This window comes from Homo sapiens, chromosome 6 (genome assembly GCF_000001405.40).
Source record: "Homo sapiens chromosome 6, GRCh38.p14 Primary Assembly".
In the NCBI taxonomy this organism is placed as follows: domain Eukaryota; kingdom Metazoa; phylum Chordata; class Mammalia; order Primates; family Hominidae; genus Homo; species Homo sapiens.
Genome location: NC_000006.12, coordinates 108,434,975 through 108,450,591, shown reverse-complemented (window position 1 = coordinate 108,450,591; position 15,617 = coordinate 108,434,975). Strand labels below are relative to the sequence as shown.

Below are 15,617 nucleotides of genomic sequence, written 5' to 3'. Positions count from 1 at the left end.
GCTTCTGCACAGCAAAAGAAACTACCATCAGAGTGAATAGACAACCTATAGAATGGGAGAAAATTTTTGCAATCTACTCATCTGACAAAGGGCTAATACCCAGAATCTACAATGAACTCAAACAAATTTACAAGAAAAAAAACAACCCCATCAACAAGTGGGCGAAGGATATGAACAGACACTTCTCAAAAGAAGACATTTATGCAGCCAACAGACACATGAAAAAATGCTCATCATCACTGGCCATCAGAGAAATGCAAATCAAAACCACAATGAGATACCATCTCACACCAGTTAGAATGGCGATCATTAAAAAGTCAGGAAACAACAGGTGCTGGAGAGGATGTGGAGAAATAGGAATGCTTTTACACTGTTGGTGGGAATGTAAACTAGTTCAACCATTGTGGAAGTCAGTGTGGCGACTCCTCAGGGATCTAGAACTAGAAATACCATTTGATCAAGCCATCCCATTACTGGGTATATACCCAAAGGATTATAAATCATGCTGCTATAAAGACACATGCACACGTATGTTTATTGTGGCACTATTCACAATAGTAAAGACTTGGAACCAACCCAAATGTCCAACAATGATAGACTGGATTAAGAAAATGTGGCACATGTACACCATGGAATACTATGCAGCCATAAAAAAGGATGAGTTCATGTCCTTTGTAGGGACATGGATGAAGCTGGAAACCATCATTCTCAGCAAACTATGGCAAGGACAAAAAACCAAACACTGCATATTCTCACTCATAGGTGGGAATTGAACAATGAGAACACATGGACACAGGAAGGGGAACATCACACACCAGGGCCTGTTGTTGGGTGGGGAGAGGGGGAAGGGATAGCATTAGGAGATATACCTAATGTTAAATGAGGAGTTAATGGGTGCAGCACACCAACATGGCACATGTATATATATGTAACAAACCTGCAGGTTGTGCACATGTACCCTAAAAGTTAAAGTATAATAATAAAAAAAAAGTTTTTCTACAAGAACAAGATAAAAAGAAACCTAATTAAATCAAATGTTAACATAACCTCAGAAAATCTTCATGAAAGAAGTTCTACCCAAGTCCTCATGTGAAACAATATAATACACATCTCTAGCATCCTGTCTTAGTAACTCATATTATTTTCCCACTTCTGAGATGATTTTAATTGCTAATTCTCTTCAGGGATACTTACATATCTGCCTTCTCCTCTGACTGAGGGGTGCCCCCAGGCTTTCTATTCTTGACTATGGTCAAGCCCTTTGGATGTTAAATTCAGGAACAAATTTATCTTCCTTGAGGATTAAATGAATAGATAGATAGATAGATAATAGATAGACATCTATCTATCTATATATATCTATATGTCTGTGTATATATATGTGTGTATATATGTAAGTGTATATGTATACACTTATATATATATATATATACTTTTTTTTTTTGAAACAGGGTCTTGCTCTGTCGCCCAGGCTGAAGTACAGTGGTATGATCACAGCTTACTGCAGCCTCCACCTCCTAGGCTCAAGCGATCCTCCCATCTCAGCCTCCCAAGTAGCTGGGACTACAGGCAGGTGCCACCACACCCACTATTTTTTAAATTTTTTGTAGAGACAGGGTCTCCCTATGTTGCCCAGCTGGTTTCAAACTCCTGGGCTCAAGTGATCCTCCAACCTCAGCCTCCCAAAGTGCCTGGATTATAGGCATGAGCCATTGTGCCTGGCCTTTGAATTTATATACTTCTCAGGAAAGCTGGTCCAGAGTTTCCTGGTGTCCTTTGTAGGTCTGGTTTCCTGGACTCTGGACATTGTTAGTGTTGGTTTTCCTCTAGCATATTTTTAAAGATCAAAACTGAACTTCACTGGGTTAGAATGCTATTACTTTTATCAGGAAAAGGAAGGGGTAACACAGGGTAAGTCAGAGACAAAAAATGGCTACGCTCCAAGCAAAAGTAGCCTTTTCACCTCCAGTAACTTCCAAGACCTCTTTGGCACTATGAAACAAATTTTATAATTTAGACTCAGACTACCATCTTTATTTAAGGAACTCCCCATCAGGAAAATATTTTTATTTTTCCACATGAGGATACACTTTTTGAAAAAAAACAGAGAACAAGAATTACCTCCTTTAAAAAAAGAATAAAGAGAATAATAATTAATTAATGCATTGGTACCATACATCTGGAATATCAAGACACAGGTAGCAAAAAATCAGGGAAAGGCTGTGAATATTAGAAAAATAAAATATCCAGTAAACACAAACATAAAAGAAACTGGGAAGAAAAAGTCCAAGTTAAAGCAGAAAAATGTGCTCTATGAATTTTTTAAAATTATAAAGTACTTTAAAGACAAAGTACTTGAGGACAAATGAAGAATCTCCTATAATAATCATCAGGATCTGAATAATAAACTAAAATAGTCCCCTTGGTACACTGTAAAGTATGCAATTTTAATTATGTGATTTTTCTAGCTAATTTCTGCTTCAAAAACAGTAAAGTACTTCTGCTTACAAGGTGGCAGAGACAAGAACTTTTCTCAACCTCTCAAATGCACGTTGTCATCAAAATTTAAATTACCAGAAACATGCCTTTTAGTTAAATTACAATTAGTCCTTAGACAGATCTATTTACTGAGAATTTGCTATGTGCCCAACACTGTTGGCATATACTAAACAAGTTTGCTTTTTTAAAGCACTTTTTCCTTTTCACGTTCTCACAAAGGACATTTTAAAACAAACTATATTTGTTTTTCAGTATTAACTGCACGTGCTGAATACACCTATTATTATAAATCGCTCCTACTCAGGAGCATCTTAGCTTTTAAAAGACAAAAATATATCCAGTTGTATTTGTGTATATATATTGTAGATCAGTTATATATGGAAGTCAATCAACAATGATAAATACAAACAGATTGACAAATAAAACAACAATTTTGGGGGGAACGGAAATGGCACACTTGTCAGATGATATCCACAAATAATTAATTACTTCACACATTAAAGATATTCTCGTAATAATAGAGTCTCTTATAAAAGGATACTCATTACATTCTAACCATCTGTCATCATTCCACCCCAAAAAACTAATTAGGGTTTTGTCCAATCACACATTATAAATGATGCAAATATGGATGGTAAAGACACGGGTTGAAGAAGTTAACATGAGAACATTTGCAATTTAAAAATCATGGGCTTCAGAACCAGCCTTTCACGTTCCAATAATTAAACTGCTTATTTTTATGTTCTTTTTCTGATTAACGATTAGACATTAAACTTTAAAAATTAGAAACACTTACAGGTAGTAGAGTTTTCCTGCAGCAGGAAGTTCCCTTTTCCGGTAATCTATCCCAGAATCTAGCTGGACTGTATTACAATATTCCTACAATCCAAACAAATGAAGTGCCTTTTTAAACAAGTAGTGGCTCAGAATTACAATCCTTCCCTTATACTATACATTTTTAAAATTTTTCAAATGTTTGCTCAAAAACTAATATAATGAGATGACAAGAAAACAACAGAACTCATGCAAGATTCATAAAACTAAAGTTGCAATATTAAATATATCAAGCCACTGAAATATCAGTTTAAAAAAATTAAAATTTGCATCATGTTTTCTGAAACATTGCCTAAAAAGTGCTGTCAGCAAATTCCCCAAATAACTTCATCTGGGTTTTTTTTAAAATAGCCCAATTTCTAATACCCTGGAGTGAGAAACTAGAGGCTACCAGAAAGAATAACTCATGGGTCTTAAGCACCACAGGAGGGCAGAGGCAGCATAAGAGAGCTGGGAGTGGACAATGGTGGTTCACGCCTGTAATTCCAGCACTTTGGGAGGCTGAGACAGGCAGATTGTGTTTGTCCAGGAGTTTGAGACCAGCCTGAGCAACATAGCAAAACCCATCTCTACAAAAAATACAAAAATTAGCTGGGCGTGGTGGCACACGCCTGTAGTCTCAGCTATTTGGCCGGCTAAGCTGCGAGCATTGCTTGAGCCTGGGAGGTGGAGGTTGCAATGAGCTATGATCGTGCCACTGCACTTCAGCCTGGGCAACAGAGCAAGACCTTGTCTCACACACACACAAAAAAAAAAAAAAAAAAAAAGAGAGAGAGAGAGTTGGGCCAGAACATTAGTGTCCACATTTTAAACCAAATGACCAAACTAGAATGATGTCGTAGGTATGCCCATCCTTCGCTTCTAAATGGCTGCCACTGCCCATGTCTCCCTTTTAGTTTCCTCTCTGGCCACCAACATTTCAGTGCGCTTTCCTGCTGTGGATGCCTCCTTTCAACCCGAGTCACCCTGTGCCACTAATGCCCTTCTCTTCTCCCAAGTGCTCCTTTCTTTCCATTCCCCCAGGGTGCATATGTGCACACAAGCACATACACCACACACATCCCAAATTCTTACTTTGAGAGCAAATGTACTTTTGCAACACCTATCTTCTTGGTCAGTTGGATTTTGGGGGCAATGAGAGGAATATATGTAGGGGTGTGTGTGTGTGTGTGTGTGTGTGTGTGTGTGTGTGTGTGTGTGTGTGTGTATCTCTACATAGATGAGAGGCATACTTCATTTTATTGTGTTTCCCTTTATTGTGCTTCTCAAATATTGCAATTTTTACAAAGTGAAAGTTTGTGGCAACCCTGCATGAAGCAAGTCTATTGGCCTCAATTTTCCAACAGCATGTGCTCACTTTGTGTCTCTGTATCACATTTTGGTAATTCTTGTAGTATTTCAAACTTTTAAAAATTATGTCATTAATTATATGATCGGTGATCACATATTATGTGATCAGTGATCTTTGATGCTATTACTGTAATTGTTTTAGGGTACCACAAACTGCACCCATAGAAGAGGGTGAACTTAATTTATACATGCTGTTTGCATTCTGACTGCTATACCAACTGGCTGTTTCTCTCTCTCTCTCTCTCTCTCTCTCTCTCTCTCTCTCTCTCTCTCTCACCTTAGGTGTCCCTATGCTCTGAGAAACAAGAATATTGAAATTATGTCGATTAATAGCCCTACAATGACCTCTAAGTGTTCAGGTGAAAGGAAGAGTCACACATCTCTCACTCTCAACCAAAAGCTAGAAATGATTAAGCTTAGTGAGGAAGGTATGACAAAAGCCACAACAGACAAAAACCTAGGCCTCTTGCAACAAAAAGTTAGCTAAGTTATGATTGAAAAGGAAAAGTTCTTGAAGGAAATGAAAAGTGCTACTCCAGTGAACACATGAACCACAAGAAAGCAAAACAGCCTTATTATTGATATGGAGAAAAGTTTGAGTGATCTGGATAGAAGATCAAAACAGCCACAACATTCTCTTAAGCCAAAGCCTAATCCAGAGAAAGGCCCTAACTCCCTTCAATTCTATGAAGGTTGAGAGAGGTGAGGAAGCTGCAGAAGAAAAGATGGAAGCTAGCAGAGGTTGGTTCATGAGGTTTCAATAAATAAGCCATCTCTATAACATAAAAATGCAAGGTAAAGCAGCAAGTGCTGATGCAGAAGGTGCAACAAGTTATCCAGAAGACTTAGTTAAGATCATTGATGAAGGTGACTACACTAAACAACAGATTTTCACTGGAGATGAAACAGCCTTCTGCTGGAAGAAGATGCCAACTAGGACTTTCATAGCTAGAAAGGAGAAGTCAATGCATGGCTTCAAAGCTTCAAAGGACAGGCTGACTCTCTTGTTAGAGGCTAATGCAACTGATGACTTGATGTTGAAGCAAATGTTCATTTACCAATCTGAAAATCCCAAGGCCCTTAAGAATTTTGCTACATCTACTCTGCCTGTGCTTTATAAATGAAATAACAAAGCCCTTGGATGGCAGCACATCTGTTTACAGTATGGTTTACTAAATATTTTAAGCCTACTGTTCAGAGCTACTGCTTAGAAGAAAGATTGTTTTCAAAAGATTACTGCTCATGACAATCCACTTGGTCATCAAAGAGCTCTGATGGAAGTGCACAAGGAGATAAATGTTGTTTCCCTGCCTGTTAACATAACATCCATTCTGCAGCCCATGCATGAATCAAGAAGTAATTTCAACTTGTAAGTATTATTATTTAAGAAATACATTTTGTAAGGCTATATCTGCCATAAATACCTTTTGTGAAAGGAAGAGTCAATCTATATAGCAACCTTCAACATTATCTTAAGAAACTGCCACAGCCACTCCAACCTTTAGCAGTCACCATCCTGATTAGTCAGCAGCCATCAACATCGAGGCAAGACCAGCAAAAAGATGACCACTCACTGAAAGTTCAGATGATTATTGGCATTTTTAGCAATAAAGTATTTTTTTAATTAAGGTTTTCTTTAGACATAATACCATTGCACACTTAATAGACTATAGTATAGTATAAATATAACCTTTATATGCACTGAGAAACCAAAAGCTTCCTGCAACTCATTTTATTGCAATACTGTTGTATTGCAGTAGCCTAGAACCAAACCCTCGATATCTCTAAGGTATGCCTGTGCAGATATAGATAGATAGATAGATAGATAGATAGATAGATAGATAGATAGATGGGAGATATTCACTTCAGTAGAAGAATGGTGACTAAGGGATTTCAGGACAAGTCAAGAAACAACTATAGGCTGACATTTTGTTTGCATTCAAAATGAAAATTGTCTTAATGGCAATTCATGGGAAAAATATATTTTAACAACATCACTATTTTTATTAATGAAAAAATGCAATTTTTTTTTTTTCGACAGAGTCTTACTCTGTTGCCCAGGGTGGAGTGCAGTGGCATGATCTTGGCTCACTGCAACCTTCTCCTCTTAGGTTCAAACAATTTTCATGCCTCAGCCTCCCAAGTAGGTGGGACTACAGGCATGTGTCACCATGCCCCGGTAATTTTTGTATTTTTAGTGGAGACAGGGTTTCTCCCTGTTGGCCAAGCTGGTCTCGAACTCCTGGCCTCAAGTGATCTGCTCCCCTCAGCCTCCCAAAGTGCTGGGATTGCAGGCATGAGCTACCACGCCCAGTCAAAAACTGCATTTTTCAAACCTTCGGAACCAACGTAATTGTGGTGGGTTTTAAGACTTGTACATTGTAAAATAATCTCTCCATCCCAACATGTTCTTCTTACAATGTGATGTTGATATTCCAGTTATCAAGAAGTGAAGTCTATGTCCCACTCCTTGAATGTTGTGACTATGATGGAAATGGTCTATGCAATAATATCCTAGGTGACACTTGAGGCAGCTTCTTATTGGTTGGAATGCTTGCTCCGGAACTCTGAAGTGCCAGTTGAGCATTTAATTGCCTGGAGGCTACTATGCTGTGAGAAAGCTTAAACTATCCCATACAGAGAGAGGAGGCCCTGGAGAGGCACTGAGATGACATGAAGACAGAGGTGTTGACAGTCCCCAGCTGTTCTAGCTGTAGCCACTCTTACTGAGGGAGCCAGAATTGCCAGCTGAGCCTTTACCAAATCCTTGACCTACAGAAACCAGGAGAGAATAAAGTAATGTTTTTTAAACCTCTTTTACAGTCATTTTACAGTAATTTGTTATGCAGCAAGAGATAATCAGAACAGCAATATCTGGGCACACTTGAGAAGTAGCAATGTTCTTCCTCCCTGAAAGTGCATCCTGGGTTGTACTGTTACGCAAGGGCTGAGGGCTGTTTATCATCTGCATCCAGGGCATAGATTGCATTTCCCCTCCTCCCATGCTGCAGGTGCTAAGGGGCTCAGGAGAGTAAAATAGGTGACCAACAATCCCCTGGAAATGAGGGGTTTCCCCAAGACTAAGGGGGGTTTCTGGATATAGAACTTTCAGTGCTAACACTAGGACAATCCTAGACAATCTGGGATGCTTGGTTACCCTGAGTGAAGACCCAAAGACTGGGTTGTGGCTAGTATAGGTATAGCATTTTGATTATATATCAGCAATTCTGAATTTGATTAGCATAAAATAACACCCAAGAAGCTGGTCCTCTAGGGAGGCCTACAAACCTAGGCTTTTGAACTAACATTTGAAGAACAGCCCTGAAAAACTAGCAAAAGTCATGGCTCCCTGCAATGCTGGCATGAGCAACCTGTTGGAGTCTCTATACAGATATCCCTAGCTCATCACTCCAAGTTGTCCAAACCCAACTCCCCAGGCCTCTCCTTTAGGACCTGGGCCCTATAACCAATCCCACCAGAGGAAAATACAGCATTGCCCAAAAACATGCATTCTACTCTCTCCTTGCCTCAAGATGTCCTGTGTTTTATATATATACTACATTACTTCTTGAGAAGAAAAGAGATATATGAATATATATTTCTCCCCTTGCCTCAAGATGTTCTGTGTTTTTCTTGATGTCATAAATGTGAAAAAATACTTTCTTTCCCTTGTTCCTGCTATAATTGCGAGAGCTCAGTCACCCAGTAAAAAAAAAAAAGAAGAAGGAAAAATGTCCTTATGCAGGGAACATGTCTTACTCAATCTCCCTGAGAAAAACCTGCCCTACTATGGTAAGCAATGGTCAATTTTTCATAAGCTATCTTTACTACAGACATCAAATACAGTGTCACAATACAGTCATATAAATATATTTGCCAGGTTCTCTATTTCTTTTAAACTACAATTTATCTTATATGACTCAGTATTCCTAATTTAGTCAAAAAGTTTTCTTATTTTTTGCTATTAAAAAATAAGGCTAATGAAAGTTATACAGCTTCAATTTCTCTTTCTGGGTAACTAACTTCTCGATCATATGAGTGATTAAGACCTACGAAATGATTGCATTTGTACATTCACTAATCACCACTGAGGAATACCTAATCAGCAGCAAAAGAACTATTACCAAAGCACTTAGATGTTAGCACTTAATTGTCTGAAAAATACTAACACTCAGTTTATATATATATATATATATTTTTTTTTTTTAAATAAACCTCAGATTTTCAGATTTCATTCACTTACGCTAGATTCTTCAAAGCTCTTTGCAGAAGGGTGGAGGCGGGGGGAAGCTAAGCTGCAAGTCGACAGTGAATCTAGTCAAAAGAGCATGATCTCTAAGAAATTTCCTAATTTCCAGTGATATTTACAAGGCCTGTGACCTCTTATCACCATCCAATTCTAATATACAACACTAATCAGCCAGCAAACAAAATTTATTTTAAAATAGTTTGCATATTTATATATACAAAGGACAAATACAATTACACAATCTAAAAAAAATGCAATTAGAAAATTTGGAGAGGAAAAGGAGGGAGGTTAGCACACCCTTCTGAGCATACTCATGTGTCAAAGGCCTTTGAGTTTGGAAAGAAAAATGTATGACTAAAGGAACTGTATTAAAGCAGTTTATATTGTCCCCAAAATCTATTGTGTGTATTTTTAGCAATCCTGAATAATACCATTAGAAAAACAGCCATCTCACAAAATAACTTTATATAGCTTCTACTCCATCCCAGTTGGAACAAAGAATAAAGACATTGTGGAGAAAATCTTTTAAAACTATAACATACTAACCTCTTAAGCAAAGATTGAAATAATAAACACAGATTTGCCCATCTTAGCATTTTTTATTATAAAAGCAATTTCACTTATCATAGAAATTTGGAACATGAGGAAAAAATCCCAACTACATAAATCGAACTTCTATCCCTTATCTAAGTGACTATATTAAATAGGCATTTAAAGAATCAAAATTATTAGTGTTTTTCTTGATTAACAGTCAACTAATTTATTTTATAAATTTTTAATGAGTAAACAACAAAAAAGAAAAAATGGTTGAGACTTTTCTTTTCCTTTTTTCTTTTTTTGAGATGGAGTCTCACTCTGTTGTGCAGGCTGGAGTGCAGTGGCATGATCTCAGCTCACTGCAACCTCTGCTTCCTGCGTTCAAGCAATTCTCCCTGCCTCAGCCTCCCAAGTAGCTGGGATTGCAGGTGCCCGCCACCATGCCCGGCTAATTTTTGTATTTTTTAGTAGAGACGGGGTTTCACCATGTTGGCCAGGCTGGTCTTGAACACCTGCCTCAGCCTCCCAAATTGCTGGCATTACAGGTGTGAGCCACCACGCCCAGTCGAGACTTTTTCTTATTCCAGGAAATAAAATTTTAAATAACTAAGATATATCATTTTACTTGATTCTTTAAGAAACGTATCCTTTTTAGGCCAGGTGCTGTGGCTCACGCCTGTAATCCCAGCACTTTGGGAGGCTGAGACAGGCAGATCACCTGAGGTCAGGAGTTTGAGACCAGCCTGCCCAACATGTTGAAACCCCATCTCTACTAAAAATACAAAAAGTAGCTGGGTGTGGTGGCATACACCTGTAATCCCAGCTACTCAGGAGGCTGAGGCAGGAGAATTGCTTGAACCTGGGAGGTGGAGGTTGCAATGAACTGAGACTGCTCCAGCCTGGGCAACAGAATGAGACTCCATCTCAAAAAATAAAATAAAAATGTATCTTTTTTGAACTGAAAAAGTGATCCATGCTTATTATAAAACATTCAAACAATATTAAAAGCATAACAGTAGAAATGAATACCCCTTTCTCAGAAAAAAGTTTGTTTATAGCTTATATAAGTTTTTCCTATACATATGGAGATTACAGAGGTAGACATCTATCATATTATATATAGTTCTATGCTTAATTTTTTTGATATCTTAAAAGTTCTATGAAAGAAAATAAACACTTAAATACAGAAAAGCTTAATTGCATACTGTACTAACTTTTTTTGCTAAGAATACAATTTAAGGGTGGGAGACTGAGTGGAGACTGTCTTACTTTATTTTGAGGCAGCTATACATTCTAAGACAGCTGTTTGAGTCATATTTAAAGTAATCATGTACTACTACTTCTAAGCTTAAACAATGATATATAAGAAAATTCAATACATAAGCTGCTCCATATTTTAAGCTTTTTATAATTTAAGTATAACTTAATACAGGAAAGTATACAAATTATAAGTGTCCGGCTCAGTCATGAAATAGAATATCACCAGAATCTCTGAAGCCCCCCTAATATCACCTTCTACTCCCCAGAGGTAACTACTATTCTAAGTCTAGCACCATAGAATTTTGCCTGTTTCTGGAGCTTTTTATAAGTGAAATCATACAGTATGTATTCTTTTGTGATAGGGTTCTTTTACGTCTGTGAGATTCTTCCATCTACATGGAAGATCAGGATGATACTAAAGATGTTTCATATATTTAATAAAATATGCCACACTGTTTTATATCACAAAAATGTGCACTTATGGTTTAACAAGTCCCCTCCAAATTTAATATTTATTTTGGATCAACCTAACAAACATAATTGAATACTACAGGTTGGGCACTTCCCTGGCTACTAGAGATATAATGATGAATAAGATATAGCGTTTGCTCTGACAGTCTGGTAGTAATCAGATATTTGTTCAAGTTATCATTTTCTTCTCTCGATCATAGACGTAATTTTTCAAGTTGATAAATTGAGAAGTCCTCTGCCAATTGTCACGCTGTGTGGTTTTAGCCTGTTACGTAACCTCTCCAGATGTCAGTTTTCTCCTCTACAAAATAAAGGAATTGATTACGATCCCTTTAAGCTCTAAATTTTTAACATTATCGTGAAGTTCTCTCACTTCAGGGCTCTTCAGGGCTGAGTTCTTCCTTGGGCTTACCTCACTTTAGAGCAGACCACACGGCCTGAGTCTACCTCAAGCTATATCAGCCTCCTTTGCTTTCTTGATCATCTCATATACCAAAGTAAATCAAAAACATTTTTTTCCATATCTCCCCACTCCTCTTTCCCTAGCTACCCTACTTGTCTCACACTTCAAATACCCATACCTGATTAACTTATTAGGTAAGGCCTGTATCCCTTCTTTTTATCAAGCAGTTTCAGAATTTCTTTCTCCTTCCAAAAAGCGGGAAGGGGGATATTTAAGCATCATGAAGTGCTTATCATGTGCTTTAGATGGGCTAGGCAACTGACTTGGCTTTATCTCTTATCTTCCTCATAATATCCATCTACAGGGCAAGGCAATATTTTTTTTAAATCCCCATTTTACAGTTGAGGAAACATAGGATCAGAGAGGTAACTTAAAAAAAAAAGTAATATTATGGGCTTAATTGCATCTCCCCAAAATTCATGTTGAAACTCTCTCAGTACCTCAGAATGTGACTGTATTTGGAGACAGAGCCTTTAATTCAGTTAAAATGAAGTCTGACTGGTATCCTTATGAGAAGAGGAAATGTGGACATGTGGATACAGTTATGTGTGTACCCCACAGAAAGGCCATGTGAAAACACAGTGAGAAGGTGGCCACCTGCAAGTCACGGAGAGAGGCCTCAGGAGAGACCAAACCTGCCAACGTCTTTGTCCTTCTAGCCACCAGAACCGTGAGAAAATGAATTTCCATGGTTTAAGTCATCCAGTCTGTTGAATTTTGTTTTAGAAGTCCTAATAAACCAATACAATCACCAATATGCTACCTTGCTCCAGTAATAAGCATACAGAAAGGCATTTTCTAAAAGAGCAAAAAAAGAAAGAATAATTGCAAGATTCAAAAAAGCAAGCAAGCAAGTCAGGACAGAAGCTAAAAGCACACCTCCATACACTTGCTTGTGAGGTGAGTCACAATCTGACTCTTTCTGCAGCCACAGCCAAAAGAAAACATCTCAGTAAATTCACAATTCACAGTGCATCCAAAAAGAGGCCACATAGTTTGTAGGTGGCTGAGCTGTGATTTGACCAGGACAATCTTGCCTCCACCAAATCCATGGTCCTCCCACTATGTCACACTGAGTTATTCAACGGTAGCCACAGGATCATTTTTCTTTAGTCTTACACAACTTACATAATTCATTTTTGCTCCTCCACCTCTCCCTCCCATCTCAAATTAATTACCTCTGCACAGTGTAAATATACTAATTACTCTTCTGGGGGCCATACAATATGATTTTATATTATTTCCTTTACGTATTTAGTCCAAGACCATGTATGAGATAAATGTACCCCATACTAAATTCTATACTATAATGGGTTATATTATAGTAAATTTCCATTACGTAGGACATTTTCTATGTTTATCTAAAATGTCTGCTCATCTCATAGTCCACTGTTCCTATGGCTTTCACTTGATCATCTAAACCAAGGATGTCAGTCTTGGAAACTCCAAGACAGTGGGACTGCCTCTTAATCCTACACAACACCATATACTCACAGACCCTTCAAAGCAGAAGAGAGTCTAACAAGGATGATGATTTCCCCGCTCTCTCTCAGAGGTGCCAAAATGAAAAGTACAAAGTAATCTGGGACAATTACTCTCTTCCACAAAATACACATGATAATTCCTCTCACATTTTAATAGGTCCCATAATAAGACCTGGCATAAACTTGGTAAGGGAATTTGAGGTGTAAATAAATGAGTCCATCATTATCATCTGCTATGGTCTAAATATTTGTGTCCCCCCAGAATTCATATGTTGAAACCTAATCTCCAGTGTGATATTAGGAGGTAGGGCCTTTGGGAGGTGATTAAGTCCTGAGGGCAGATCCCTCATGAATGAGATTACTGCCTTTATAAAAAAAGGCTGAGGGAGCTTGTTTGTCCCTTCCTTCCATGATGTGAGGACACAGCTAAAAGGTAACATCTTGGAATCAGAAAGGGAGCCCTCACCCGATACCAAATCTGCTGGTGCCCTCATCTTAGATTTCTCAGCCTGGACTAAGACGCCATGGTAATAGCAAACACTGGTATAAGGGCTTACCATGTGCCAGGGACTATTCTAAGATCCTTAAATGTATTCATTTAATTCTTTCAACCACTCTATGAGGTAGAAATTATTATTATTCTATTTTACAAATGGATGAAGAAACTAAAGCACAGAGAGGCTAAGTAACTTGTCCATTGTCAAACAGCCCAAAAGTGACAGAACCAGGATTCAAACGCAGGCATTTTGGCTCTGGTGTTTCATCACAGCCCATGATATGCTCAGGCAACTATGGCTCTTGCTTGGATACACAAAAGGCAATGGAAGATTCACATGGGCTTGTTGGGAGGTTTTCACAGTACTGACAGCTTGCCTCACAAAATCCTACATCTGTTGCCCTCTGCTCCTGTGCTCACTGAGTAAGGCCCAAACTTGCTTGCTTTCCTGAGAAATAGCTACGTTGCAATAAACAGATTGGTTTATTTGTTTAAAACCTAATCTCAGCCGGGTGCGGTGGCTCACACCTGTAATCCCAGCACTTTGGGAGGCCAAGGCAGGCAGATCACAAGGTCAAGAGATCAAGATCATCCTGGCCAATATAGTGAAACCCCGTCTCTACTAAAAATACAAAAATTAGCTGACCATGGTGGTGTGCACCTGTAGTCCCAGCTACTCAGGAGGCTGAGACAGGAAAATCACTTGAACCCGGGAGGTAGATGTTGCAGTGAGCCAAGATTGTGACACTGCACTCCAGCCTGGCAACACAGCGAGACTCTGTCTAAAAAAAAACCTAATCTCATACAAAAATGATATGGGGCAGCTTTCAAGAAACTTTGTGTAGCTGTTATATATTACATTGTAACATAACAAAATGGGTCATTTTTCTATACTGAATGAGATTGTAGAGACAGATTTGGGTTTCAAGCCTGTAAGTTCTATGTGACCAGGATCATGTCTGTTTTGTCATCATTGTCTCTTCAGCAGTTACTATCTAGCACACAGTACATAGTAAATGCTCAGTAAATATTTATTAACTGAACAAACCATTAGCAGACACATATGTGTAAAGCTCTAGTGCAAGTTAGTATGTTAGGAACTACAGGAAGAAGCCAACCAGTGCAGTCCCTTTCTCAAGGAGCTTTTATGACAAAATGAAGCATTCTTCCAGCTATGTTCTGCCAGTTATAAGGTCAGCAACTGAGAAAACGGCAGGATTTTGAAAAGGCTGCACCCTGGAGTTCACAGCCCATCTCTACCTACTCATCATCAGGTCTCATTACCCACACCCTGAGTGCCACACACTCGAGTCTATATGAGGAAACATCTTCTCTCCTGGCCTCAAGCGATTCTTCCACCTCAGCCTCCTGAGTAGCTGGGACTACAGGCATGTGTCATCATGCCCAGCTAATTTTTGTAATTTTTGTTGAGACAGAGTGTGGCTTTGCTGCCCAGGTTGGTCTCAAGCTCCTGGCCTCAAGCGATCCTTCCATTTCAGCCTCCCAAAGTGCTGGATTACAGGCGTGAGCCACTGTGCCCAGCCCTGTTGTAAGACCTAAACACTCAGGTGCTACCTTGACATTTTTGAGCCTCACAGAGCCATTCCCTGCTCTTGTCAGATACACCCAGTGGTTCCCATGCCCAGAGGTAAAGTCCTCCTACCTGGCCAGTATCCCTATCAGCCAGACCAGCTGTATCCCACCTTCATCTTACTACAAAGCCTGCCTCCCATAGCCCCTTCTGGTTTATAATCGTTATGTGTGTAGTGTCCCTATCCCTCAGGCTGTGAGTTCATGTGACTAATACACTGCTGCCAATCTCGTTTGTCCAATGTCGGGCATCTTAATCACTATTTGGTTGGGGATCCCTCCTTTACTGACAGGGTAAATAGGAGGTGATCAGAACATCCGTCTAGCAAGGAAGACAGATGGTTAAGAATCAGAACAGGATGCTCTGGAACACTGAACAGTAAC

The 15,617-nt window shown here is 38.8% G+C and overlaps 1 protein-coding gene across 11 annotated transcripts in view; it reads right to left on the bottom strand.

Moving 5' to 3' along the window:
- Nucleotides 1–15,617, bottom strand: part of AFG1L (AFG1 like ATPase) — a 230,948-nt gene that overhangs the window by 75,410 nt on the left and 139,921 nt on the right. For 9 of the 11 annotated variants that reach the window (NR_136553.2, NM_145315.5, NM_001323005.2 and 6 more), the window contains one exon: nucleotides 3,296–3,378. Coding sequence is in view for 9 of the 11 variants with exons in the window: in NM_145315.5 (NP_660358.2) it covers nucleotides 3,296–3,378 (83 nt within the window). In the remaining 2 variants the exon portion in view is untranslated. Of the gene's footprint in view, nucleotides 1–3,295; nucleotides 3,379–9,511; nucleotides 11,502–15,617 lie in introns of those variants that run through there. The other 2 variants (XR_007059229.1, XM_011535660.3) reach the window with 1 other exon arrangement.